We start from the raw sequence: 25,859 nt of genomic DNA, 5'->3' as shown, positions 1-25,859 counted from the left end.
AACCCTAGTAGATGAGGGATAGTTCTTCTTACAGAGGAATTCTAGCTGATGAATGCTCAAAGAATGAAAGAATTAGAAAATCATTACTTTGAAATCAATAATGAAATAATTGATTCGAATAACAATTATGAAATAAATAGTAAAGCAATGCAAAAGGTGAAAGGATAATGGAGAACTTTACAATGAAGGGATCAGACTATCACCACCTCAATCCACTTTTAGTATTACTAAAAGTGAGACAACTGCAAATTACATAAAAGGAAGTACATAGTAACAACCATGAGATATTCTTGCCAAATAATAATTTTAAAAACCTAATCTAACCAAGTCTTTTTTTTTTCTTTTTTTGAGACAAGGTCTCACTCTGTTGACCAGCTGGACTGCAGTAGCATGATCACTGCCCACTGCAGCCTTGACCTCCCCAGGCTCACATAATTCTCCTACCTCAGCCTCCCAAGTAGCTGGGACTATAGGTGCGGGCCACCACAGCAGCTCATTTTTGCATTTTTTTTAAGACGAGTTTTCATCATATTGTCCCGGCTCATCTTGAACTCCTGGGCTCAAGTGATCCGCCCACCTCCCAAAGTACCTCCCAAAGTGCTGAGATTACAGGTATGAGCCACACCATCCAGTCTAATCAAGTCTTTAGCTTTACATTCCAGTTTACAAGAAACAACAGGGAATATAGAAACAAGTAAAATAACACCTCAAGGAAGTAATCAGCCGAATCCAGAATATGGGACAGTCTAGAGGACAAATGCCAAGTTTCTTCAACAAGCCAATGTCATCACAATAAAAGAGAGGAGGTACTGTTTGGTTTAGCTTTTAAAATTTTTAAAAGAGGCTGGGTGCGGTGGCTCAAGCCTGTAATCCCAACACTTTGGGAGGCCGAGGTGGGCGGATCACAAGGTCAAGAGATCGAGACCATCCTGGCTAACATGGTGAAACCCCGTCTCTACTAAAAATACAAAAAATCAGCTGGGCGTGGTGGCGGGCGCCTGTAGTCCCAGCTACTCGGGAGGCTGAGGCAGGAGAATGGCGTGAACCCGGGAGGCAGAGCTTGCAGTGAGCCGAGATCGCGCCACTGCACTCCAGCCTGGGCAACAGAGTGAGACTCTGTCTCAAAAAAAATAAATAAATAAAAAATAAATAAATAAATAAAAATAAAATTTTTAAAAGAAACTTAATAGATATAACATAATATAATAAGGTGACCTCAATTGGATCCCAATTCCAACAAACCTCAATGGCAAAAACATTTTCAGACAATTAGAAAAATCAGATTATTCACCGGGTATTAGTGTGATAATGGCATTGTGACTATATGAGATGTTCCTTTTGCTATAATTCTTTTGCTACGCATACTGAAATATTTAGGAGTGAAATTACATGATATTCCTGATTAGCCTAAAATATTCCAGCATAAAAGAGGGGAAGATCATAGTTGAAACAAGCATGGAAAAATGTTGATGGCTATTGAAGCTGAGTTATGAGTATGTACGGGGTTTTATTGTACATTCTACTGTTATGTACATTCGGAAATTTTAATAAAAAAATTTTAAAGCTATCAATGCAATTTTATGCATTAATAATGTAAACGGAAAAAACTATATGTCCTACTTACAGGTGAAAAAACAATGGATAAAGCTTTGCTTTTTCATCCCTTCTTGGTTTCTTTTTTTTATTTTTATTTTTTTTTTGAGACAGGGTCTCACTCTGTCACCCAGGCTGGAGTACAGTGGTGCAGTCATAGCTCACTGAAGTCTCGACCTTCCCAGGCTCAAGCAATCTTACTATCTCAGCCCTCACCGAGTAGCTGGGACTCTGTATAGGCACATGCCACCACACCTTGCTAATTTATTATTATTATTATTTTGTAGGGATGAGGTTTTGCAATGTTGTGCAGGCTGGTCTCAAACTCCTGGACTCAAGCGATCTACTCTCCTTGGCCTCCCAAATTGCTAGGATTACAAGCGTGACCATTCTTGTTTTTAAAAAGCCTCAGAAAGATAGAAATTCAAGAGAGTTTATTTGACTTAATAAAGGGTAACTGCCAGACACCCACAGCAAACATAATACTTGATGAAATTTTAGAAGCATTCCCATTAAATGGAAGGAAAAAATAAAGATATCTGATATTGGTATGATTCAAATTTAAATCCGAGGTCCTAGCCAATGCATTAAAACACAAAAAGTACACATGGTATCCAGGCTAAAGACAGAGACAAAACTATCAGTATTTGTAATAATCTGTTTTCCTACCAAGAAAATCCAATAGAATCAACAAAAAATCGATTAGAAAGAAAAGAGAATTTGTTAGTAAAGTTGCTGGCAAAAGACAACATACAAAAATCAATAGCTTTCTTATACTCCTATGGTAATTATAAAACGAAAGAAAAAGTTCTATTGAAGGTAGCAACAAAAATGAAGTATCTAGAAATAAAGCAAACAAGATATGTTCAAAATATTTACAGAGAAAATTATGAAGCACTACTAAAGGACTTAAAAATTTGGATAAGTGGAAAGCCATATCATGTTTATTCATATAAAGACTCATTCATGTAAAGATGCTAACTCTCCCTGGTTAAATCTGTAAACTCAGTGAAATACCAAATAAAAATGCTAGTAAGATCCTACATGGGTATAATAATCTGCATTTAAAATTCGTTGAAATAGTAAATATGTAAAAATAACCACAAAAATGAAAGGAAGCTCTTTCAATGCCAGATAACAAACATATTATAAAAATATAAAAATGTAAATGCTTGTGAATTAATAAAAAAGAGATGCAGGAGAGATTCCGTTCCAAGATGGCTGAATAGGAACAGCTCCAGTCTGCAGCTCCCAGTGTAATCAACGCAGAAGACGGGATTTCTGCATTTCCAACTGAGGTACCTGGTTCATCTCATTGGACTGGTTGGACAGTGGGTGCAGCCCACACAGGGCCAGCCAAAGCAGGGCAGGGCATCGCTTTGCCCAGAAAGCACAAGGGGTGGGGGGATTTCCCTTTCCTAGCCAAGGGATGTCGTGAAAGACTATACCTGGAAAATTGGGACACTCCTGCCCAAATACTGTGCTTTACCAATGATCTTAGCAAATGGCACATCAGGAGATAATATCCTGCACCTGGCTCAGCGAGTCCCATGCCCACGGAGCCTTGCTCACTGCTAGCACAGCAGTCTGAGATTGACCCGTGAGGCAGCAGCCTGGCAGGGGGAGGGGAGTCCGCCATAGCTGAGGCTTGAGTAGGTAAACAAAGTGGCTGGGGAAGCTCAAACTGGATGGAGCCCACCGCAGCTCTGCAAGGCCTGCTGCCTCTGTAGACCCCACCTCTGGTGGCAGGGCATAGCTGAACAAAAAGCAGAAGAAACCCCTGCAGACTTAAACGTCCCTGTCTGACAGCCTGCTGCCTCTGTAGACCTCACCTCTGGTGGCAGGGCATAGCTGAACAAAAAGCAGCAGAAACTCCTGCAGACTTAAACATCCCTGTCTGACAGCTCTGAAGACAGCAGTGGCTCTCCCAGCATGCTGTTTGAGCTCTGAGAATGGACAGACTGCCTCCTCAAGTGGGCCCCTGAGCCCCATGTAGCCTAACGGGGAGACCCCTCCAAGTAGGGGCCAACTGACACCTCATACAGGCAGGTGCCCCTCTGGGATGAAGCTTCCAGAGGAAGGATCAGGCAGCAATATTTGCTGTTCTGCAGCCTCCGCTGGTGACACCCAGGAAAACAGGGCCTGGAGTGGACCTCCAGAAAACTCCAACAGACATGCAGCTGAGGGACCTGACTGTTAGAAGGAAAACTAACAAACAGAAAGGAATAGCATCAACAACAACAAAAAGGACATCATACCAAAACCCCATCTGTAGGTCACCATCATCAAAGACCAAAGGTAGATAGAACCACAAAGATGGGGAGAAACCAGAGCAGAAAAGCTGAAAACTCTAAAAACCAGAGTGCCTCTTCTCCTCCAAAGGATCACAGCTCCTCACCAGCAATGGAACAAAGCTGGACAGAGAATGACTTTGACGAGTTGACAGAAGCAGGCTTCAGAAGGTTGGTAATAACAAACTTCTCTGAGCTAAAGGAGGATGTTCGAACCTATCGCAAGGAAGCTAAAAACCTTGAAAAAAGATTAGACGAATGGCTAACTAGAATAACCAGTGCAGAGAAGACCTTAAATGACCTGATGGAGCTGAAAACCATGGCACAAGAACTACGTGATGCATGCACAAGCTTCAATAGCCAGTTCGATCAAGTGGAAGAGAGAGTATCAGTGATTAAAGATCAAATTAATGAAATAAAGCAGGAGGAGAAGTTTAGAGAAAAAAGAGTAAAAAGAAACAAACAAAGCCTGCAAGAAATATGGGACTCTGTGAAAAGACCAAATCTACATTTGATTGGTGTACCTGAAAGTGATGGGGAGAATGGAACCAAGTTGGAAAACACTCTGCAGGATATTATGCAGGAGAACTTCCCCAACCTAGCAAGGCAGGCCAACACTCAAATTCAGGAAATACAAAGAACATCACAAAGACACTCCTCGAGAAGAGCAACCCCAAGACACATAATTGTCAGATTCACCAAGGTTGAAATGAAGGAAGAAATGTTAAGGGCAGCCAAAGAGAAAGGTCGGGTTACCCACAAAAGGAAGCCCATCAGGCTAACAGCAGATCTCTCAGCAGAAACTCTACAAGCCAGAAGAGAGTCGGGGCCAATATTCAACATTCTTAAAGAAAAGAATATTCGACCCAGAATTTCATATCCAGGCAAACTAAGCTTCATAAATGAAGGAGAAATAAAATCCTTTACAGACAAGCAAATGCTGAGAGATTTTGTTACCACCAGGCCTGCCTTACGAGAGCTCCTGAAGGAAGCACTAAGCATGGAAAGGAACAACCGGTACCAGCCACTGCAAAAAACATGCCAAATTGTAAAGACCATCGAGGCTAGGAAGAAACAGCATCAACTAACGGGCAAAATAACCAGCTAACATCATAATGACAGGATCAAATACACACATAATATTAACCTTAAATATAAATGGGCTGAATGCCCCAATTAAAAGACACAGACTGGCAAACTGGATAAAGAGTCAAGACCCATCCGTGTGCTGTATTCAGGAGACCCATCTCACGTGCAGAGACACACATAGGCTCAAAATAAAGGGATGGAGGAAGATCTACCAAGAAAACCGAAAGCAAAAAAAAAAAAAAAAAAAAGCAGGAGTTGCAATCCTAGTCTCTGATAAAATAGACTTTAAACCAACAAAGATCAAAAGAGACAAAGAAGGTCATTACATAATGGTAAAGAGATCAATTCAACAAGAACAGCTAACTATCCCAAATATATATGCACCAAAACAGGAGCACCCAGATTCATAAAGCAAGTCCTTAGAGATGTACAAAGAGACTTAGACTCCCACACAATAATAGTGGGAGACTTCAACACCCCACTGTCAATATTAGACAGATCAGTGAGACAGATGTTTAACAAAGATATACATGACTTGAGCTTAGCTCTGCACCAAGCAGACCTAATAGACATCTACAGAACTCTCCACCCCAAACCAAGAGAATATGCATTCTTCTGAGCAACATATTGCACTTATTCTAAAATTGACCACATAGTTGGAAGTAAAGCGCTCCTCAGCAAATGTAAAAGAACAGAAATCACAACAAACTGTCTCTCAGACCACAGTGCAATCAAATTAGAGCTCAGGATTAAGAAACTCACTCAAAACCGCTCAACTACATGGAAACTGAACAACTTGCTCTTGAATGACTACTGGGTAAATAATGACATGAAGGCAGAAATAAACATGTTCTTTGAAACCAATGAGAACAAAGACACAACGTACCAGAATCTCTGGGACACATTTAAAGCAGTGTATAGAGGGAAATTTATAGCACTAAATGCCCACAAGAGAAAGCAGGAAAGATCTAAAATCGACACCCTAACATCATGATTAAAAGAACTAGAGAAGCAAGAGCAAACAAATTCAAAAGCCAGCAGAAGGCAAGAAATAACTAAGATCAGAGCAGAACTGAATGAGATACAGATACAAAAAAACCCTTCAAAAAAATCAGTGAATCCAGGAGCTGATTTTTTGAAAAGATCAACAAAATTGATAGACCGCTAGCAAGACTAATAAAGAAGAAAAGAGAGAAGAATCAAATGGATGCAATAAAAAATGATAAAGGGGATATCACCACTGATCCTACAGAAATACAAACTACCATCAGAGAATACTATAAACACCTCTATGCAAATAAACTAGAAAATCTAGAAGAAATGGATAAATTCCTCGACACATACACCCTCCCAAGACGAAATCAGGATGAAGTTGAATCTCTGAATAGACCAATAGCAGGCTCTGAAATTGAGGCAATAACTAATAGCCTACCAACCAAAACAAAGTCCAAGACCAGATGGATTCACAGCCAAATTCTACCAGAGGTACAAAGAGGAGTTGGTACCATTCCTTCTGAAACTATTCCAATCAATAGAAAAAGAGGGAATCCTCCCTAACTCATTTTATGAGGCCAACATCATCCTGATACCAAAGCCTGGCAGAGACACAACAAAAAAAGAGAATTTTAGACCACTATCCCTAGTGAACACTGATGCAAAAATCCTCAATAAAATACTGGCAAACCAAATCCAGCAGCACATTAAAAAGCTTATCCATCATGATCAAGTGGGCTTCATCCCTGGGATGCAAGTCTGGTTCAACATACGCAAATCAATAAACATAATCCATCACATACACAGAACCAATGACAAAAACCACATGATTACGTCAACAGATGCAGAAAAGGCCTTTGACAAAATTCAACAGCCCTTCATGCTAAAAACTCTCAATAAACTAGGTATTGATGGAGCATATCTCAAAATATTGAGAGTTATTTATGACAAACCCACAGCCAATATCATACTGAATGGGCAAAAGCTGGAAGCAGCCCCTTTGTGTCCCCGTTTGCAGATCACATGATTGTATATTTAGAAAACCCCATCGTCTCAGCCCAAAATCTCCTTAAGCTGATAAGCAACTTCAGCAAAGTCTCAGGATACAAAATCAATGTGCAAAAATCACAAGCATTCCTATACACCAATAACAGACAAACAGCCAAATCATGAGTGAACTCCCATTCACATTTGCTACAAAGAGAATAAAATACCTACAAATCCAATTTACAAGGGAAGCGAAGGACCTCTTCAAGGAGAACTACAAACCACTGCTCAACGAAATAAAAGAGGACACAAACAAATGGAAGAACATTCCATGCTTACGGATAGGAAGGATCAATATCATGAAAATGGCCATACTCCCCAAGGTAATTTATAGATTCAATGCCACCTCCATCAAGGTACCAATAACTTTCTTCACAGAATTGGAAAAAACTACTTTAAAGTTCATATGGAACCAAAAAAAGAGCCTGCATTGCCAAGACAATCCTAAGCAAAAAGAACAAAGCTGGAGGCATCATGCTACCTGACTTCAAACTATACTACAAGGCTACAGTAACAAAAATAGCATGGTACTGGTACTAAAACAGAGAGATAGAACAATGGAACAGAATAGAGCCCTCAGAAATAATACCACACATCTACAACCATCTGATCTTTGACAAACCTGACAAAAACAAGAAATGGGGAAAGGATTCCCTATTTAAAATAAATGGTGTTGGGAAAACTGGCTAGCCATATGTAGAAAGCTGAAACTGGATCCCTTCCTTACACCTTATACAAAAATTAATTCAAGATGAATTAAAGACCTAAATGTTAGACCTAAAACCATAAAACACCCTAGAAGAAAACCTAGGCAATACCATTCAGGACATAGGCATGGGCAAGGACTTCATGACTAAAACACCAAAAGCAATGGCAACAAAAGCCAAAATTGACAAATGGGATCTAATTAAACTCAAGAGCTTCTACATAGCTAAATAAACTACCATCAGGGTGAGCAGGCAACCTACAGAATGGGAGTAAACTTTTGCAATCTACCCATCTGACAAAGGGCTAATATCCAGAATCTACAAAGACCTTAAACAAATTTACAAGAAAAAAACAAACCCCATCAAAAAGTGGGCAAAGGATATGAACAGACATTTCTCAAAAGAAGACATTTATGCAGCCAACAGACACATGAAAAGATGCTCATCATCACTGGTCATCAGAGAAATGCAAATCAAAACCACAATGATATACCATCTCACACCAGTTAGAATGGCGATCATTAAAAAGTCAGGAAAAAACAGATGCTGGAGAGGATGTGGAGAAATAGGAATGCTTTTACACTGTTGGTGGGAGTGTAAACTAGTTCAACCATTGTGGAAGACAGTGTGACGATTCCTCAAGGATCTAGAACTAGAAATACCATTTGACCCAGCAATCACATTACTGGGTATATACCCAAAGGATTATAAATCATGCTGCTATAAAGACACATGTACACATATGTTTACTGCGGCACTATTCACCCTAGCAAAGACTTGGAACCAACCCAAACGTCCATCAATGATAGACTGGGTTAAGAAAATGTGGCACATATACACCATGGAATAATATGCAGCCATAAAAAAGGATGAGTTCCTGTCCTTTGTAGGGACATGGATGAAGCTGGAAACCATCATTCTCAGCAAACTATGACAAGGACAGAAAACCAAACACCACATGTTCTCACTCATAGGTGGGAACTGAACAGTGAGAACACTTGGGCACAGGGCGGGGAACATCACACACAGGGGCCTGTCATGGGGTGGGGGGCAGGGGGAGGGATAGCATTAGGAGAAATACCTAATGTAAATGACGAGTTAATGGGTGTAGCAAACCAACATGGCACATGTATACCTATGTAACAAACCTGCACTTTGTGCACATGTACCCTAGAACTTAAAGTATAATTAAAAAAAAAAAAAGATGCAGGAGAAAAGTCAAACAGTGAGTAGGGACAGAGGAGGTAGAGAGGAAATCAATGATGATCAAAGGGAGTGTTCAACTTCCCTGTAGTGCTCTAATCTTTCAAAAGAAAAATGTATTCAAGTATCATGTGTGTAATTAAATCAATAAATAAGAAATTAAAAGGCTATATAACAATATGAATGAATCCTGTTATGTAAATATATATAAATACTTATTTATTCACACAAAATGCATGGAAAGAAGATTGTAAGGACACTCACCAAATTGTGGACAGTTGGTTGTTTATTGGGGGTTTTTTGGGGGTTTTTTTTTGGTGAGATGTCAGAGAGCAGGCAGGAAAGGGAAGTTTGAAGATTTACTCTCTCTAAACCTGTGTATTATTTTGATCTTTTACCACAACAATATGCTTATATATTATTAATTTAAAAATAAAGACTTGGAAAAAGTCAAAGACACATGGTTAAGTGAAAAAAGCTAGTTGCAAGATAACACAGTATTAACCTATTACATAAAAAGAAAACCAACGCACCAAAAACATAAATATTTTGCATGTGTTTTATATAGGTAGATAAAATTGCAAATGAAAAAAAGAACAGTTGTCACATTTGAGGTAAGGCATTAAACTGGGTAGAGGTGAAGGAAAATAATGAGGTGATTAAGAGCCCAGCTCCAACAATAATTAGCTATATGACCACATGCAAGTTACCTCTTTATGCCCTCAGTGTCCCTATCTGTAAAATGGAAAAAAATAACAGTACCTATTTCATGGATTGTTGTACTGATCTCTTTAAAGCATTTAGAGTGATGTTGGGCACAGTAAGGCCTGTATAAGCATTTACTCTCATTGTTACACATTTCTATATTTTTACAATTTTTATAAGAATATATTCATATATTCCTCACGTAATTCCTTGTGTATTCCTAGTGTAATTTTAAAAATAAAATTTGAAGCATAATATTAGAGAAAAAAATTTACAGAATGGCATATTGCAATTTTGTTAAACTTTTATTTTAGGTTTGGGGTACATGTGCAGTGCAAGTTTGTTATATAGGTAAGCTCGTGTCACAGGCGTTCGGTTTAGATTATTTTGTTATCCAGGTACTAAGCATAGTACCTGATAGTTATTTTTCCTGATCCTCTCCCTCTTCCTACCCTTCTCCTTCAGGTAGTCCCCACTGTCTCTTGCTCCCCTCTTTCTGCCCATTGGGTCTCATTATTTAGTTCCCACTTTTAAGTGTGAACACGCGGTATTTGTTTTTCTGTTCCTGCCTTAATTTGCTAAGGATAATGACCTCCAGCTGCATCATGTTCCTACAAAGGACATGATCTCATTCCTTTTTTTTTGGCCGCATAGCATCCCATCATGTATATGTATCACATTTTCTTTATCCAGTCTATCATTGATGGACATTTAGGCTGATTCCATGTCTTTGCTATTGTGAACAGTGCACACTGCAAAGTAATATATAATTAGAGACAACTTAAATTGTCCATCAATAGGGCAATAGTTAAATAAGTCATCATACATTAATAACGTGGAATACTTTGCAACTCTTAAGAATGAGTTGGGCCAGGCTTGGTGGCTCACACCTATAATCCCAGCACTTTGGGAGCTGGAGGAGGAAGGATTGGTTGAGCCCAGGAGTTTGAGATTAGCCTGGGCAAAATGGTGACACCCCATCTCTATTTGTATTAGTAATAAATTTTTTTTTTTAAAAAAAGAATGAATTGGATGTCTATGTATGGACACTGAAATATAACCATTGTGTATTTAACATTCTTTAAAGTGGTGAAATGGTATGTATCATTTTTATATATTATATATGTATACATCTATTATATGTGTTTACATATTATACATGTGTATTTTATGTATACACATACACATACACACATACTCCCCTATACTAACATACACATAAACTGGCCTTTCACTATTTACCCTATATACTTATGTGTTTGATTTTTTTCTTTGAGACAGGGTCTCACTCTGTCACCCAGGCTGGAGTGCAGTGGCATGATCACAGCTCACTGCAGCCTTGACTTCCCCAGGCTCAGGTGATCCTCCCACCTCAGCTTCCAGAGTAGCTGGAACCACAGGCATGCGCCACCATGCCTGGCTAATTTTTTATACTTTTTGTAAAGATGGGGTTTGTCCAGGTTGTCCAGGCTGGTCTCAAACTCCTGGGCTTAAGTGACCCACCAACTTTGGCCTTCCAAAGTGCTAGGATTACTGGTGCAAACCACAATGCCTGGCCTGATTATTTTTAAAATATGATCATGTCATCCAAATATTACCAATGCTCGTAGTATAAAGCCCCAAATCCTTAAGGGAGCCTGCCACCCAGCCTCAGCTCATATTACTCTCCTATGGCTAGAGTATTACTTAATATGCTCTAGTCATAGGAGATATTTTTCAGTTCTTCAAATTACTATACATGTTCTAGCTTCAGGTCTTTGCACATGCTGTTTCCTCTACCTGGAACATGTCTTCCACCTACCCACCATCCACCTTCATCTACCCTAATTTATCTTTCAGTCCTCACTTCTTCAGGGAAGCCCCCCCTAACTTTCCAGACAGGGTTAGGTTCCTCTGTTATAACACTTACAGAACCCTTATTTTTCATTCATAGCTCTTTTTTTTTTTTTTTTTTTTTGAGGGAGTTTCACTCTTGTTGGCCAGGCTGGAGTTCAATGGCGTGATCTCGGCTCACTGCAACCTCCACCTTTTGGGTTCAAGCGATTCTCCTGCCTCAGCCTCCCAAGTAGCTGGGATTACAGGCACATGCCACCATGCCCAGGCAATTTTTGTATTTTTAGTAGAGACAGAGTTTCACCATCTTGGCCAGGCTGGTCTCAAACTCCTGACCTTGTGATACATCCGCCTCAGGCTCCCAAAGTTTTGGGATTACATGCGTGGGCCACCGCGCCTGGCCCATTCATAGCTCTTATCACAGTTTACAGCTTTCTATTTATAGGTAGGATTATTAATGTCTGTTATTACTCCTGTTAGACTGTAAACTCCATGACAGCATGATTCTTGTCTGTCTTGTTACGTCCTGACATCTAGTAAAAGTTCAGTAAATATTTGTGAAATAAATGACTGCTTTCCGTTAGTTAGGATAGACCTTGGCTTTGGCACTGGCTCCATTTTCCTCTCCATTTCAACCCCTGCCATCATGTAAGCAACATCAATGTCTGTGGATGACTCATCCAACATGCTAGCCTCACTGCCCTTTGAGCTCCTCTACTTCAACAACCTCTGACCGCATGCCACTTTCTATGTCATTACTAGCCGTTAGTTTCCTGGACCACCCACTAGGCATGGAGCTGCTCCACTTTAGAATTCCTGAACTCTACTAGCCTAATCTCTGGCTACAACCTCCTATTCCAGTTACTTCTTGGTTCTCAGAATACCCACTCCTCATTCTCTTTCTTTTTTAAAAAATTTTTGATCAAGGACTCATTTCACAGCCAAACATTTTTCATTCTCATCAAGATCTCCCATCCTTTGATTTCTCCCATTCTCCAGCTCATTATCACCTCATGGCTTCAATCCCTACCCAGTGTAGGTGCCATTGTGCATCACTTCAACCTCTTTTTTGCTGGCTACTTCACTGCCCTTGCCATTTTTAATCTACCATTTATTGAGCAATTACTGTGAGCCACATTACATACATTATCTCTGCAATCTCTCACAAAACCCTTGAGGTGGTATCAGCATTGTCCCCTTTCAGAGATAAGGAAACAGATTCTAAAAGAGGTCAAGTAGACTTCCAGGGCACTGGCCCTTGCTGGGGTGGGCTGGGTGGCAGTTAGGTGGCACAGCCTTGGGTGCCTCTGCTGCCAACTGTGAGCAAAGTCTCGCCACTGGCAGCCTGGCATGGCACTCCAACTGTAGCTGTGTCAGTGTGTTATGATGCCCTCCCACATCAACCTGGCTGGAATCTCCGTAGTAAAGTGATATACTCAAGGCTCTCCAGCACAGATGATGGCTACACTGACCTCCAGTTTAAGAAAAGCCCTCCTAAGATCCCTTATAAGGCCACTGCACTTGCCACTGTGCTCTTTTTCGATTGGTGCCTTTCTCATTATCATAGGCTCACCTTCTGGCTACATCAGCAAAGCGGGGGCAGACTGGGCAGTTCCAGTCCTGATCATTGACATTCTGGTATTCCTGCCCAGATTTTACCACCTGCACAGAGCCTACTATGCATCCAAAGGATTACTTCTAGGGCTTACCAGGATTACTTCTAGAGGTTGCTTCTAAAATGACATTCCAAACTTTGATGACTAGCACCCAGTTCAGCCCCTAGGAGAAGAGTTACATTGAGACTGTGCCCAGCTTCAGGATATTGAGCAAAAACCAAAGCTAATTAAGGGTTAAGGAATTCTGCAGTTTACAGAAGTTTAACAAAACAATGGCCAGATTGTATGGGTCCATCCCAAAAAATGTTAACTGAGCTTACAATTTGCTAATTAAAACATGCTCTATTTTTCATCTCCTGGCCCTGGCAAAAGCTCTTGACAAGTTTTTCCATATGAATATGTATTACGGAAGAATAGTAATGCTAACTGTCTGAGAAAATGGGAGGTTATTCTCTAGTGGAAAGTGTTGTTCCCACCACCCTCCTTAGAGTTGAACATTTCTTTTAAATAATCTTCATTGTCCATTTGTTCTTGTAGCAAATGGAATAATGCTGTATGTCTAACTTCTTATTACTAAGTAATTTATTTTTAAAATATCTCAATATCTAATCTCCTACATTTATGTCTACCTTCATGTTCTGGCGGAAGACCTTGGTAAAGTCAAATATCAGTGTGGGTCCATCTGTAACATTTTTTACTTGTTTTCTTATTGATAACAACCAGGAATTTTTTTAACCACAGAGGAAGTTTTTAAAATGTAAACGCTTTCTCTATTTACCAATCCTTGGCCAGTTCCAATCCAGTTCACCAGTAGGTTGGGCAGCATATAATTTGGGTCGTTGGGTCTTTTGTAGATCAATATGTTCTGTATATCATGTCTTTAAGTAATGGACTTTTGGTTGTTTCCTAATGAAAAATGTAGATAAGTGGTTATTATTTAGAGTTTATAATTCTATTGCTAGCACCTTATATTATGATGTCATTCTGCTAAAAATCGAAAGACTCAGCCTGGATCTCCAGAGGACTAGATTGTCTTAGGTTGAATCTGTTTCCTAGCTTGCAAATGTGACTTATATTAAAAAGAAATTAAAATGTTGAAATCCCCCAAAAAGAAGTGAAGTAATTTGTGAAAGATCACACAGCTAGAAAGTGGTGGAGCAGGGTGCAGTTGGGATCTGAAGGAGATATTTCTGACTCCAAGGTCTGTGCTCCAAACCAGTAGGCTATTTTGCCTCTCAGAGGGAAAGATAACTGTGACTGCAACATGGAGAACGAAAGAGGGAAGCAGGCAAATGTGAAGGCTTGAAGACCATGGCAGCAATCCAAGTGAGAGTTGATGGTGGACTAATAATTGTCTACTTGAACACTGCAAATAATTCCAAATAAAGTCCCACTTACTTCAGGCGTGTGACTTTACAGGATGAACTTGGTGGGCTTTGGCTGACAGCACAACTAGGTATGCCTACAAGAAACCAAAAGAAAACAGTAGTTTAAGACATTCTTTCAAAATAAAACTTTTAGCTTTAACTTTTCTGCAAATGTATATATAGATATACGTGTATAATATATATATATATATATATATATATACACACATATTATTTATTCCTAGGTATGCAGCCATTTATTAAAGGCTTCCCATGTTCTGGGAATTTATTTAGTCTTATTTAAACTTCCAACTACCCTGTGAACTACCATTTTATAAATGAGGAAAGTGAGGCTGGGTGCAGTGCCTCACGCCTATAATCCCAGCACTTTGGGAGGCTGAAGCAGGGCTATCGCTTAAGGTCAGGAGCTCCAAACCCGCCTAGACAACATGGCGCCATCCCATCTCTACAACAAATACAAAAATTAGCCAGGCGTGGTGGTGCGCGCCTGTAATCCCAGCTACTTGGGAGGCTGAAACAGGAGAATCACTTGAACCTGGGAGGCGTAGGCTGCAGTGAGCCGAGATTGTGCCACTGCACTCCAGTCTGGGTGACAGAGCGAGTCTCAGTCTCAGTAAATAAATAAACAAATAAATAAAGTGATGCACAAGAAGATAAAGAAAATTGCTTAATGTCACACAGTTAGTTAATCGTAAAGATGGGATCAGAACCCAAGTCTGCTGCTCTCCTTCTAGTCACTTACCCAACGAAGTCCCAACCTTAGTTAGACTCATACTCCCTGACATCACCCACAGGCTGTCAGGGCCGGGGCGCGGGGCGGGGGACGGAGGGCGGAGGGCGGGGACGGGAATCACGCAAGAAAGCAACACAAATCTCCACTTTCCAACTTTATCAAGGAACTAACCCGCAAAACCTGTGGCTAGTGATCCGCTTGGGAGGGGCCGAGCTTTATCCTGAAGGCCACGAGGCACCCTTCCTCAGTCTTACTCTGGGCAGTGATCCCATTTTACACTCCCCACTCTGCTGGCACCACGTCCAACAGGAGCAGCAAACCTAGCCTCAAAGCCACACCAACCCAAGGACAGCTGCTGTTCCATTTTTTCTCTCATAGAATCAAAAGACACAATGGCGGATATCAACGTAATTTATTTGGATCTTCTCCCCTTTTCAAACCATAATCTAGGGTCTACAGATGACCATCAGTGGGTTCACGAACCCTCTGTGCTTACATGCAAACCATGGGCATTTTTTTAAAGGAGGTGGTCAATTGGTCAATAGTTTTCCTTATTTTCAAACGGTGCCATGTGCATCCTACTGCCCACCTCAAGAAAAACAAAAAGAGGCTAAGAATCCTAACTTTAAGCTCTGCCAGCAAGAGCTTCTCGGCCATCTTTACTCTCAGTTGCGCATGCACCTGGCTCCCGCCTTCCTTCCCGCTCTCCCCTCTCCACCACCCATGCAACCACCATGCACGCACTCCCAACACACGCACCCCCCCATGCACGCACCCCCACGTACGGACCCCCACGCACGCACGCACTCCACGCGCACGCATATATATTAATAAATCTATATCCCCTCACACACACCTCCACGTGCACACGCACACACATCCCCCACGGGCTTCTCGGTGAGTCTTCACGCTCGAAAGCATCTCCATGTCACCACTCGCACACTGCCACGTCCGCACCTGTGTAAATCACATCTTCGCATGTCCCCCACACATCACACGCACACAAGCGTTCCCGCACACGCGCGCCTCCCCACGTACGCACCTCTCTATACCCCTTCATACACACTCATGCCTTCTCAACACACGTACCAGCCCACTTGCACGCACTTGCAAGCGCTTGCACCCTCCACACGCACCGCTCGGAGCTTTTCCCCCTCTCTCCTCCCAATGGCTGGCTTCTGGAGCCGACCCTTCCACGCGCCCCCAGCTTCGCGGCAGCTAGGTCCCTCCCCAGCGCGCTGAGCTCACAGCGCAGGAGCCGGTCGCAGCCACACAGGCCGGTCCGACGGGACCACTGCTTCCCTCCTCACATCCCAGGAGACACCAGGTGGGGCGTGGCACCTCCCACACACGGCTGGAGGGACTCCCAGGATTTCCCGTCCTTCCGAATTCGTGGGGGGTCAGAGGACTGCGGGGAGGCGTTTCTCATCCTCGCTGGGGAAAGGACTCACCTGGTTCCCAAAGCCAGTTTGCTCTTCCTCTACTTCCTGCCAGAGGGTAAGGGATTCCAAGAGAAAGACAAGGTCTTTAGGGCGGAGAAGGGGAAATGACTCAGAGAGGAGGCGGCCCAGAGGGAGGGGCTGGGCTGGAAAGGGAGGGTAGTGGGGTGCCGGAGGGAAAGGGGAGAAAAAAGAGGATGGGAGAATCGCCTCGGGGGCAGTTTTGGGGGTGTCTAGCAAAGACCTGGAAGGCCTTCCCGGTTAACCCTGACTTCAGGAGCTGCTGCACTGGGTCATTTGTTTCCTCAGTGCTGGGCCTTAAACTTTACCTCGTACCCAAAGCAGCCATGGCTAAGACCCTTGCTAGCAGCTCACCAGGCATGTAGGAATCTGCAGGCCTGGGCATGGGCGCATGGAATGATTAACTCTTCATGTTCGAGGGAGCCAATAATAGTCTTTACCTCATAGGATTCCTGGGAGGATTGAATGAATCACTGCATCTCGAGTGCTTGGCATAGTGCCAGGCACACTGTAAGCAACCAATAAATGATAGCGCCTATAATTCAAAAAGTCTTCATTCGTTGATACTCTGTCTTCTCTCTAGATTATGAGTCTCATGAGGGCAGGGATTATGTGTCTTATTCATCACTGAGCTCCAGCACCTGCCACAAACAGACTATCAGTAAAATATTTGTTGAATGAGTGAATAAATGAATGGCGGAATAATAACTTGGAGTGGTGGCTGTACCAGGACTCTCTCCTTTGCCTTTTAAGGGATGTATCTGTGGGAGTTTGGATTGGGAAGATCATAATTGGAGAAGGTGGCACACAGGACCCCTGTTAGTTGCTGTATCAAGTGACCTACTCTGCCCTTGGAAAGTAGAATATCTTTGGCAATTCCCTGCATGTACACATTGAAGACTCTCAGATGACTGACCTGAAATTTGAAACAGAGACGCCACTAGCTAAAACAGTATTTGCATTTTGTACAGTTATCAAGCAGGATGGGGGAGAGGGCTGAAGCAGAAAGCTCAAAAGTAATGGTAGCAGCGGATTGGCAAGGGAGGTCCAAGTGAAGTGAAGTGTGTATGGGGAAGGATAGTCACCCCAAAAGGGATTCTGATGATGGTCCTAAAGTAACAGTAATGTCATCCACTTCTCTGTCCCAGTCGTAGGATTTCTGATGATCTGCCCTGATGTCCCAACATTCTTGGGGTAGGTATGCACATCAAGCTCCTATCACTACCTTCACTAAATTTGCATTTATGGTAATTCATACTGTTAGGGCTAGAAGGGACCTTAGAAATTACCCATACTCTTTAATTCCTAGTTGAAAAACTAAGTGCCAGAGATGGCGAAGGACCCAGGCCTTGGAATTCTCTGGCCTTGGTACTGAATCTTTCAGAGACTGAATTTATTTTATATCCTAATTATGCATTTAATCTCTGCCCCATCCCCACCCCCAACTCCCAAAATACTGAGAAGAATGAAAGGACATGAATGGAAGGTCAGCAGAAGGGAAGAAGAGAAGAGGTACTTCAAAAGACCCTGACTTTACTTCCTTTTGCTTTGCCCTGAGGAATTTACCTGGACCTTCAGCTAGTCTCTGCATGAGAATGGCTCTACCCTGGCACCCTAGTCACCTGGCAATATCTACAATGGTCCCTCGAGCAAAGACTTGAACCACAGCTAATCTGAGTCTTGGTAGAATGCCTGTGATCCTTCCAGAGCACAAAGGATGGGAGGCCTGAGAGGAGCTGCTTCAAGATCATCTCCCACTTGCCTCCTTATGTCCCTTGGCAAGTTTCATGAGACAGATTTTCATAGCCTCCCACCTCCCAGGTTCTGATGAGGTACAAGACTTCCTGAACCACTTCCCTCAGAATAGAGCTACAGACTATAAAGCCACTTAAGTGCAGTCTATAATTGGCTTCTTAGCAGTGAGGTATCCCACAACTCACTTGGAAGTCTTCTGGTCCTTTTTGTTTCAGTGTCATCCTTTTTGTTGTTTGGGACAAGGACCATTTGGGGCTGGAATCTTTGACTGCTTTTTCTTTCACTGTGTAAATAATAAACTGTTTGAATTTAAAAGTGATTCCTTGTATCTTTACCTACTAAATCAGTCAGGCCTTGGACTTGGACTTGGACTTGGACTTGCCATATGTGCTTGACAGCTGCTTACTGTGAATTTCACATTTTTGGCTATCTCATGACCCTCTCTTACCACTGAGGGAGTTAAGTCGAACAAAGAGCTGTTGACCATAGTAGCTTTTTCTTATCACTATACATCAAAGGGAAAATCAGCCCAAATTCCATTTTCTGGGACTTTTAATCTGCCTGGAAGAGCAACAGATCCTCTTCGTATTCTGTGTGCAAGGCCAGCCCTTGTGCTCTAGAAGGATCACAGGCATTGTGCTAAGTGAGACTCAGTTCTCATCTATATCCCCTTTGAAAGAGTCCTCTTGGTCCAAAATATTTCCCCTGGCAGGGGCTTAGCCTGCCAGGGCATTGTCAGCTGACCCTTCTAAACTGGAAAGTCTGATGCTTGCCCTCCCCAACTTGTCAGTCCCAAGTCAGACACAAAAACATTTTCCCTAGAAGGTTCTTGTTAACATTTCTTGTTTTCTGAGAAACAATGTCTTGTTTTCTGTGTGAATTTTGCCCACATTCCTCCATTAGCACATTATTGGTGGCTAATTTATTAATTCTTTTAATTGTTCCCTTTGAAGGAGCCTGGCCTTAAAGAACAATGGAAAGAAGCAGTCATAGGAATCCTGGACCAGGAATATGTGCCTGAGAGGGATTATACACCTGGTGCTGGTGAGTTCACCCAACTTCACAATGTATGAGGTGGACTACTTGTCATTCTGCTTATCAGATTCTAATTCTATTCAACCAGCATTTACTAAGCACCTACTATGTACAAGTCTCCATGCTAGATCTTGGTAAGAGCTTCCACTTGCACTCCAGTGTCTCTATAAATGCTCCCTTTGTCAGCTACCACTATTAACTCATTGAGTTCATAGATGTAAAACTATCTGAGAAGCAGTATTGAATTGGGTACTCCATTATAAATGTTAGGAATATTTTTCATCTTAATATCCCACCACAGAAATGAGAAGAGTACTAGGAACATAACTAGTGGTTAAGAACTGCTCTTGAATGACCCGACGAGATCAGTCGCAATTGTAATTTGTGTATTGTGCCCAACAGTATAGGAAAACCACCTTGATCCTCCATTCCTGGAAATTCATGGTGGAGGAGAGTCATTCTCATTAGCTGTCATGCTATATACATTTCTAATAAGCTTGTAACAACCTATTTGGTCTCTGTTACTCCTAACCATCATAACTGAGACCACCTCCCTCCCAAATACAGGCTCAGATTCACTGAAACTCTGGGACCAATTCTATTCTCAGATGGGGAAACATAAAGAATCCCATATCTGCCCTGTCCTCGCACATTAAATGGAGATGGCCTTTCCAAACATCATCACACACACACACACAAAATATTAAAATTTTAGCTATGGGTAATAGCCTCATATTTGGTATTTGCCTAGGTTGTTCTTCAATTAAACCACTAAACACACAATGTTCCAAATTCTTTTCTCCTTTGAATTTTACTCCTTTTACCTTTGGGCTGTAGTTCTTATAGGCCCCTGGTCTGATGACCTGTTTCAAGTCACTTCTCTAGCTGCCGCCCTTGACTGCCCTGCTTCATTCACTTCATATCGCATGATCCCTTTTAGTCTTAGTGCCACTACAAATCTGATTAAGATATGCCCAATTCTAGCCCTGAGGGACCTCCTGGCTTCCTCCCAGTCTCCTCCTGCAGGCCAGCTGTTTTAACAGTAAGTCAGCTCACTTGCTTCTGGTGCTACCCTAATCTTAATCAATGGGTTCCAGCACTGGGATTTTATTTGTTCTTTAATTCTCAACTTCTGCTCCAATCTCTAAAACTGAATGTGTCATGTTTCCTTGAACCCTATATCTTCATTTCTTTGGTCTTCTTGACCATATCATGCTCCTGAAATCAAAGTCTTCTTGATTGGATTTTGAGCTCCAGACCCCCTGGGTCCTTTCTGTCCAGATCACTACCTATTATATGATCCTTGGTTTCCCCTAGTCACTTACCCAATTCCAGGAGAATCCACGGCCATCTTCCTTTTAGTCCTCCCCCAATTCAACTCCAGCGAGAGACAACAAAGAATTCATGAATACATATATATTTATTTAATTCATAATATAGCATTTTGGATGGGCTGGAATATTGTAGAGAGGGATGAGGCTGTGTAATCCACAGATGCTCATATTTCTGTCACTAGGAGAGACACTATTGGTCCAGAGCTCCCAATACAAACAGGCGTGGGGTAAAGCATTTGATAAAAAATAGTCCAACAATAGTCTAATAAATAGTCTAGCCAATAACAACAATACAGCATATGTCTGAAGCTGGCAGACTACACCATAAAAGGCAGTTTTGTCTGACCTGATGGCAATCAGTTTGGCCAACCTGTAACACACAGCCAAATACAGCCATTGGCTCCAAGGCTGCAGTTGGCTTCAGGAGCTAGAAATAAGTGTAGGAGTGGTTCTTACCTACCTGCCTGACACTCTCCATTCCTTGGAGGAAGCAGTATCAAATATTTGAGTTTATTCAAAAGTCCATCCGTGGATTGCTCCATCTTGGTAGTCATATATAAATATGTAAACCATGGAAGTTTAGAAAATTCACCTAGAGTGTTTTAGCCGAAAAGAACAGATAAGTGATTTTGCTGCAATCTGAATTTCACTGCATCTAAAGATACACATAGAATTGTATAATAAAAACACATCCAGATGCAGTTACTCTTACTTACAAGTAGCCAGAACCTCAATGTGGCATTAAAATTTCTTTCATACTCTCAAAACAGGTTTTACTTTATTTTTGATTATTTTTGTGCTTTCTTCAATAAGACAATATAAAAAGTGGAAACAAGCATAAATTGCAGACATAAAATAATCTTCTGGTAGAAACAGTTGTGGAGAACAGGTTGAGTAGAGCAACAACAACAAAAGCTTATGCAGTCACCTTCTTTGAAAATGTTAAATACAAGTCCTATTCTCTTTGTCCAGCTGGGTTTAGCTAGAGGTAGCCAATTACTTCTCTTAAGGTCCATGGCATTGCCAGGATTCTATAAAAGCCAAGTTAACTGAAGTAAATATCTGGGGCCCATCGCACCCCCACTAAGTACTTTGTCACCATGTTGTATCTTAGAAGTCATTTTTCACTGTTTGACTCAGAATTTGGGACTTCAGAGTCAAACTTCATTGCTTACTCCAAACCCAGTTTAATTCCCCACTTTTTTAAGTAGGCTTAGCTTTGAGTGATTTTTGGCTATAACCGAAATGTAAATCCACCTTCAAACAACAAAGTTTGACAAGACTGAAATGTTACTGAAAACAATGGTGCCATATGCTCCAAAGACATTTCCCCAAGATAACTGCCAAAGAGTTTTTGAGGAGGACAATGATCATTTATTATGTAGGAGCCTTGATATCTCTGCAAAATAGAATTAATACAGCTCAAATGGAGTAGTAACCAAGCTTTTCTGCCCAGGAAGTAACAAACATCACTACGAACATGAGAGTACAAGAGGAAACTTTCATAATGCATTTTTTCATTCATACATTCATTCAATAAACATTAGCCAAGCTAATGTTCCAAGCACTGTGCCAGGTATTAACAATATAACAACAATAAAAGACACAGTCCTTCCTCTCAAGGTGTTCAGTCTAGTAGGGAAGATGATTATTCATTAAAATTTTTGGTGCATCAGAATCATGAGGAGCTTGTCAAAAATGTAAATTCCTGCCTATGTTCTCAGATATTCTGGTTAGGTCAGGAGTGGGAACCCAAAATCAATTCTTTTAACAAACACTAAAGGTGATTCTAACACAGGCGGTGTGAGGACCACACTTTGAAAAACACTGCTATACAATGTGATTATTGCTGAGAGAGGGGGATGCTTGGGGTGTCTTTGGATCTCTAAAGAGGGATGCATCATCAAGTCTAAGGAATAAAGAGTTAGTCTGGTTGAGAGAGATAGAGGTGAGGAAAGGTAGTCCAGGATAGAGTCAAAAGTAGGGTGGGGAAATTAGATCTTTGTCCCAGGGCACTAAAATCTAAAAGACACCACAATAAATGAACAGTTTTGGAGAGCCAAGGACAAGGCAAAGGAAATTGTTCTACTGGAATGGAGGTTGCATTTTCTGTACTTACAGCATTTTCACACTATTCCTTTAATTTAAGAAAAATTTCTGTTGTTTACTCTGGGCATTAAAATTGTTAATCATGTTTCTGCTGCAGGCCCAGAGAATAACTTGTGTGAATAGTTGTGTAAATAGTTAAACTTGGCTACCTTAATCAATGTGAGGGGGAAAGTGGCAAAAGATTAAGCTGTGTAAGCAAACAGGGACATGAAAACCCAGACTCTGTAAGGAGTTGGGACCTTCTACTGGGTGCTAAGGGAGCCAGTGAAAAGTTTGATGAAGGGGAAAAAAATCATTTTTTTTTGTTTAAGAATTTGGGGATATGCCCTAGGGAAGAGACAAAGGTGACTGAGAAATGAAGGAGAAATGAAGGACATACATTTTAAAGCACTGTTACGCTGTATTGGAGCTGGGAGTAAGGAAAGAGATTAATATTTATGGCACACTTAGGAAATGTCAAGCGCTGAGCTAAGACAGTTTACATATGCTATCTTTTTTAACCTTTGAAACAGCCTTGTGAAGTAGACATTATTTTACAGAGGAGGAAACAGGCTCAGAGAAGTGAGGTACTTGTCCTAGGTCACAACGCTAATAAATGGTACAGAAACTAGGATCATTTGAATCCAAAGGTTATGAGCTTTCCACTACAGCAAACTATTTACCAGCACTGATGAATTTTACTGAGGTTGTTCATTTCCTGATTAGCAGTAAGCACATATGGTATTTAAAATCAAAAAAGATGACATTGCTGCTAGATTTATATTTTTGAGCCTTCCTTGTGTGTCTGCATCAGTCTTGCCTTCCACATTAAGTGAACAAACAATACATAACTGTTATTGGGGAGGATTATATACTTTGTTTCTTCCACAGAATAGTAAGCCATTTGGCAGCAGGTAGAGCATTTTGTTAATATGTGCACTCCCATGGCAGTAGTTTGGTACCTGGCATCTAATAGTTTATTGAATGAATTAATAAATGAGCATCCACCAAACTAGGGGAAAGGAAGAGGGGAGTTTTGACATTTCAAGTCTCCAATCTGAGGGAGTTGTTATGGCTACCACTTTGTAATTTTACAACAGTAATATTTTCACAAATCCCAGAAGACTTCCGAAGCCAACTTAGCTCCTGGAAAGGGGAAAGCTCTGGCTCTCTGACATCCCCAATCCCTTCGATGGAAATTTAAAAAAAAAAATCATAGACTACAAGGCTCCATTCCCTTCAACTATACTGGTTAGGACTGGGATGAAGTTTGTCTCCATTTGCGTGGAGGGATTGGCTAAGAGAATGAATACTGTAAACAAGATTGCAAAAGGAATGATTATTTATCCTATTTAAGAAAACAAACTGTTTTCAGACATTCTTGAGCACTTCAGAAGTGTTTTATCTGAAAAAGCAAGTACATTTATATGGGAATAGTTGGTGCATCAATAATACTCAATTTTTACTGATTAAGTAAAGTAGGTTCCTAAAGAGCCTTCACTGTGCAACTTTTTAAAAGCCTAATTCTCATAACTGTGTGTACTTGGGAGTAGTAAAACTTTTTTTTTAATAGTCTATGACAGAATTTTTAACAATTCAGATGGCCATCCTCAAGTAGGTAGCATCACTTCTACCTGATCAATTTTCTATCCAGCAACAGCATCTCTTGTGCAATCTTGTCTGTAAATCTCTGCTAATCCAATAAAGCTCTTCCCATTATCTGTGTCATGGTTGCATGTGTATGTGTGCGTGACAGGAGGGAGGAAGGCAATGATGGATAGAGGGAGGAAATAAATGTTGATTGATTTTGATGTTTCCTTTAGGGGACAAAAATGGATGGTGTAACTTATTTTCCCTTCCAGTATATTTCTCACTCAAATTAGCAAATTAAAAAGTTTTTTGTTCTAGTTCGAGGTGGTGTTTGGAAAAAAAAGTTTTTTGTGTATATGTAATATATAAAGTGAATATGCATAAACATACATACACAAGTGAATATATATAAAGTACATATATGTTCACTTTATATATTACATATACACATTCATGGTTTCCTAACAAACCCTTGATGATAGGTTTTCATCAAAAGTAAAATATAATATGTGATAATTTGACACTGTTCAAAATTCTACATGGCCAAACTGGCCAGTACTAGAAAGGCTGACCACCCCCCGCTCTGGCTTGCTAGCTCCTTATTCAGGGCACCTTTCCACATTATTTAACTAGAATTACCCTAATTGCTTCCAATATAATTTATATTCTTAAATCATTGGGAATTTTTAATTCTCCAATGACAACAGAGGCATTTTCTAAATTTTTCTCCAATGGCTTGAACGCAGACTACTCAGATAATTTGTTCTGAAAAACTCAATAAATTAATTCAAATACAAGCTTTAATGCACAAAAATTAAATCTGCAATATCTAGTTATTTTGGATGCTTCAAACAAACTTTATTTTGTGTCTCGTATATTGAACGCTAACTTAGGTGTAGGAGGGGAAGAACTGCTGAACTAGAGAGCCAGTGAATTATATACTCTCCTGAAACTTAATGACAGGTTTTCATCCCAGAAACATAAGGGGATTCTTGAGGCCTGCAGTTGCATTCCTGCCGCTCAGGGTAATCAATAAAATCTGGGGCAGGCAAGCCAGACAGGATCATTAGGGATTTGTTCCAGATTGTAAATGTTGGACAAACTGGAAGAATGAAGGTCACATCAAAAGTATGAAGATGGAGAGAGTTAGCTGGGTCATAGAAAGACAGCATATTGTTGTCATAATCCAGGAGGACACCCAGACGCTTCAGGTGTGGGGGCACATCCACCAGCATTTCCTTGTTGTTGTGTCTCACCACGAAGTTACTATTGCAGCGAGAGAAGACCCATGAGGAGGCATTCTTGCCAATCCATTCATTCTTTGGAGCTGATTTGTAGGCAATGCCAATTGCATACCTGTGAGACAGTGGAAAGGAGAGAGAAATAAACATTTATGAAT

At 41.0% G+C, this 25,859-nt stretch overlaps 1 protein-coding gene, 1 long non-coding RNA gene and 1 pseudogene across 5 annotated transcripts in view, besides 6 other annotated features; 2 read left to right on the top strand and 1 right to left on the bottom strand.

The window, feature by feature from the left end:
• Nucleotides 2,687-3,186: an enhancer, noted in NCBI's record as "H3K4me1 hESC enhancer chrX:107192531-107193030 (GRCh37/hg19 assembly coordinates)". NCBI's record gives its function as "activates a minimal SCP1, AML or CMV promoter by ChIP-STARR-seq in primed H9 embryonic stem cells {active_cell/tissue: H9 hESC(primed)}" and the evidence as "EXISTENCE:reporter gene assay evidence [ECO:0000049][PMID:30033119]".
• Nucleotides 3,187-3,688: an enhancer, noted in NCBI's record as "H3K4me1 hESC enhancer chrX:107192029-107192530 (GRCh37/hg19 assembly coordinates)". NCBI's record gives its function as "activates a minimal SCP1, AML or CMV promoter by ChIP-STARR-seq in primed H9 embryonic stem cells {active_cell/tissue: H9 hESC(primed)}" and the evidence as "EXISTENCE:reporter gene assay evidence [ECO:0000049][PMID:30033119]".
• TMEM230P1 (TMEM230 pseudogene 1) lies at nt 12,830-14,180 on the top strand (annotated as a pseudogene).
• Nucleotides 15,516-16,219: an enhancer, noted in NCBI's record as "H3K27ac-H3K4me1 hESC enhancer chrX:107179498-107180201 (GRCh37/hg19 assembly coordinates)". NCBI's record gives its function as "activates a minimal SCP1, AML or CMV promoter by ChIP-STARR-seq in primed H9 embryonic stem cells {active_cell/tissue: H9 hESC(primed)}" and the evidence as "EXISTENCE:reporter gene assay evidence [ECO:0000049][PMID:30033119]".
• Nucleotides 16,220-16,924: an enhancer, noted in NCBI's record as "H3K27ac-H3K4me1 hESC enhancer chrX:107178793-107179497 (GRCh37/hg19 assembly coordinates)". NCBI's record gives its function as "activates a minimal SCP1, AML or CMV promoter by ChIP-STARR-seq in naive and primed H9 embryonic stem cells {active_cell/tissue: H9 hESC(naive and primed)}" and the evidence as "EXISTENCE:reporter gene assay evidence [ECO:0000049][PMID:30033119]".
• Nucleotides 16,220-17,490: a biological region, named in NCBI's record as "P300/CBP strongly-dependent group 1 enhancer GRCh37_chrX:107178227-107179426".
• Nucleotides 16,291-17,490: an enhancer, noted in NCBI's record as "P300/CBP strongly-dependent group 1 enhancer chrX:107178227-107179426 (GRCh37/hg19 assembly coordinates)". NCBI's record gives its function as "activates an origin of replication core promoter dependent on BRD2, BRD4, P300/CBP, MED14 and CDK7 cofactors, with strong dependence on P300/CBP, by STARR-seq in HCT116 cells {active_cell/tissue: HCT116}" and the evidence as "EXISTENCE:reporter gene assay evidence [ECO:0000049][PMID:35650434]".
• LOC101928335 (uncharacterized) overlaps nt 16,507-25,859 on the top strand; it is a 41,384-nt gene continuing 32,031 nt past the window's right edge. Inside the window, exons 1-3 of the long non-coding RNA NR_110395.1 lie at nt 16,507-16,695; nt 17,807-17,852; nt 19,367-19,457. This is a non-coding gene — a long non-coding RNA (uncharacterized LOC101928335). The remainder of the gene's footprint in view (nt 16,696-17,806; nt 17,853-19,366; nt 19,458-25,859) is intronic.
• MID2 (midline 2) overlaps nt 20,850-25,859 on the bottom strand; it is a 105,903-nt gene continuing 100,893 nt past the window's right edge. For all 4 annotated transcript variants that reach the window (NM_001382751.1, NM_001382752.1, NM_012216.4 and 1 more), the window contains exon 10: nt 20,850-25,816. In NM_001382751.1, the coding sequence (NP_001369680.1) occupies nt 25,414-25,816 (403 nt within the window). In that variant the 3' untranslated portion in view covers nt 20,850-25,413. The remainder of the gene's footprint in view (nt 25,817-25,859) is intronic.

This window comes from Homo sapiens, chromosome X (assembly GCF_000001405.40).
Source record: "Homo sapiens chromosome X, GRCh38.p14 Primary Assembly".
Taxonomy (NCBI): Eukaryota; Metazoa; Chordata; class Mammalia; order Primates; family Hominidae; genus Homo; species Homo sapiens.
Note: the sequence above shows the minus strand (reverse complement) of the source record. Positions and strands in the feature narration are given on the sequence as shown.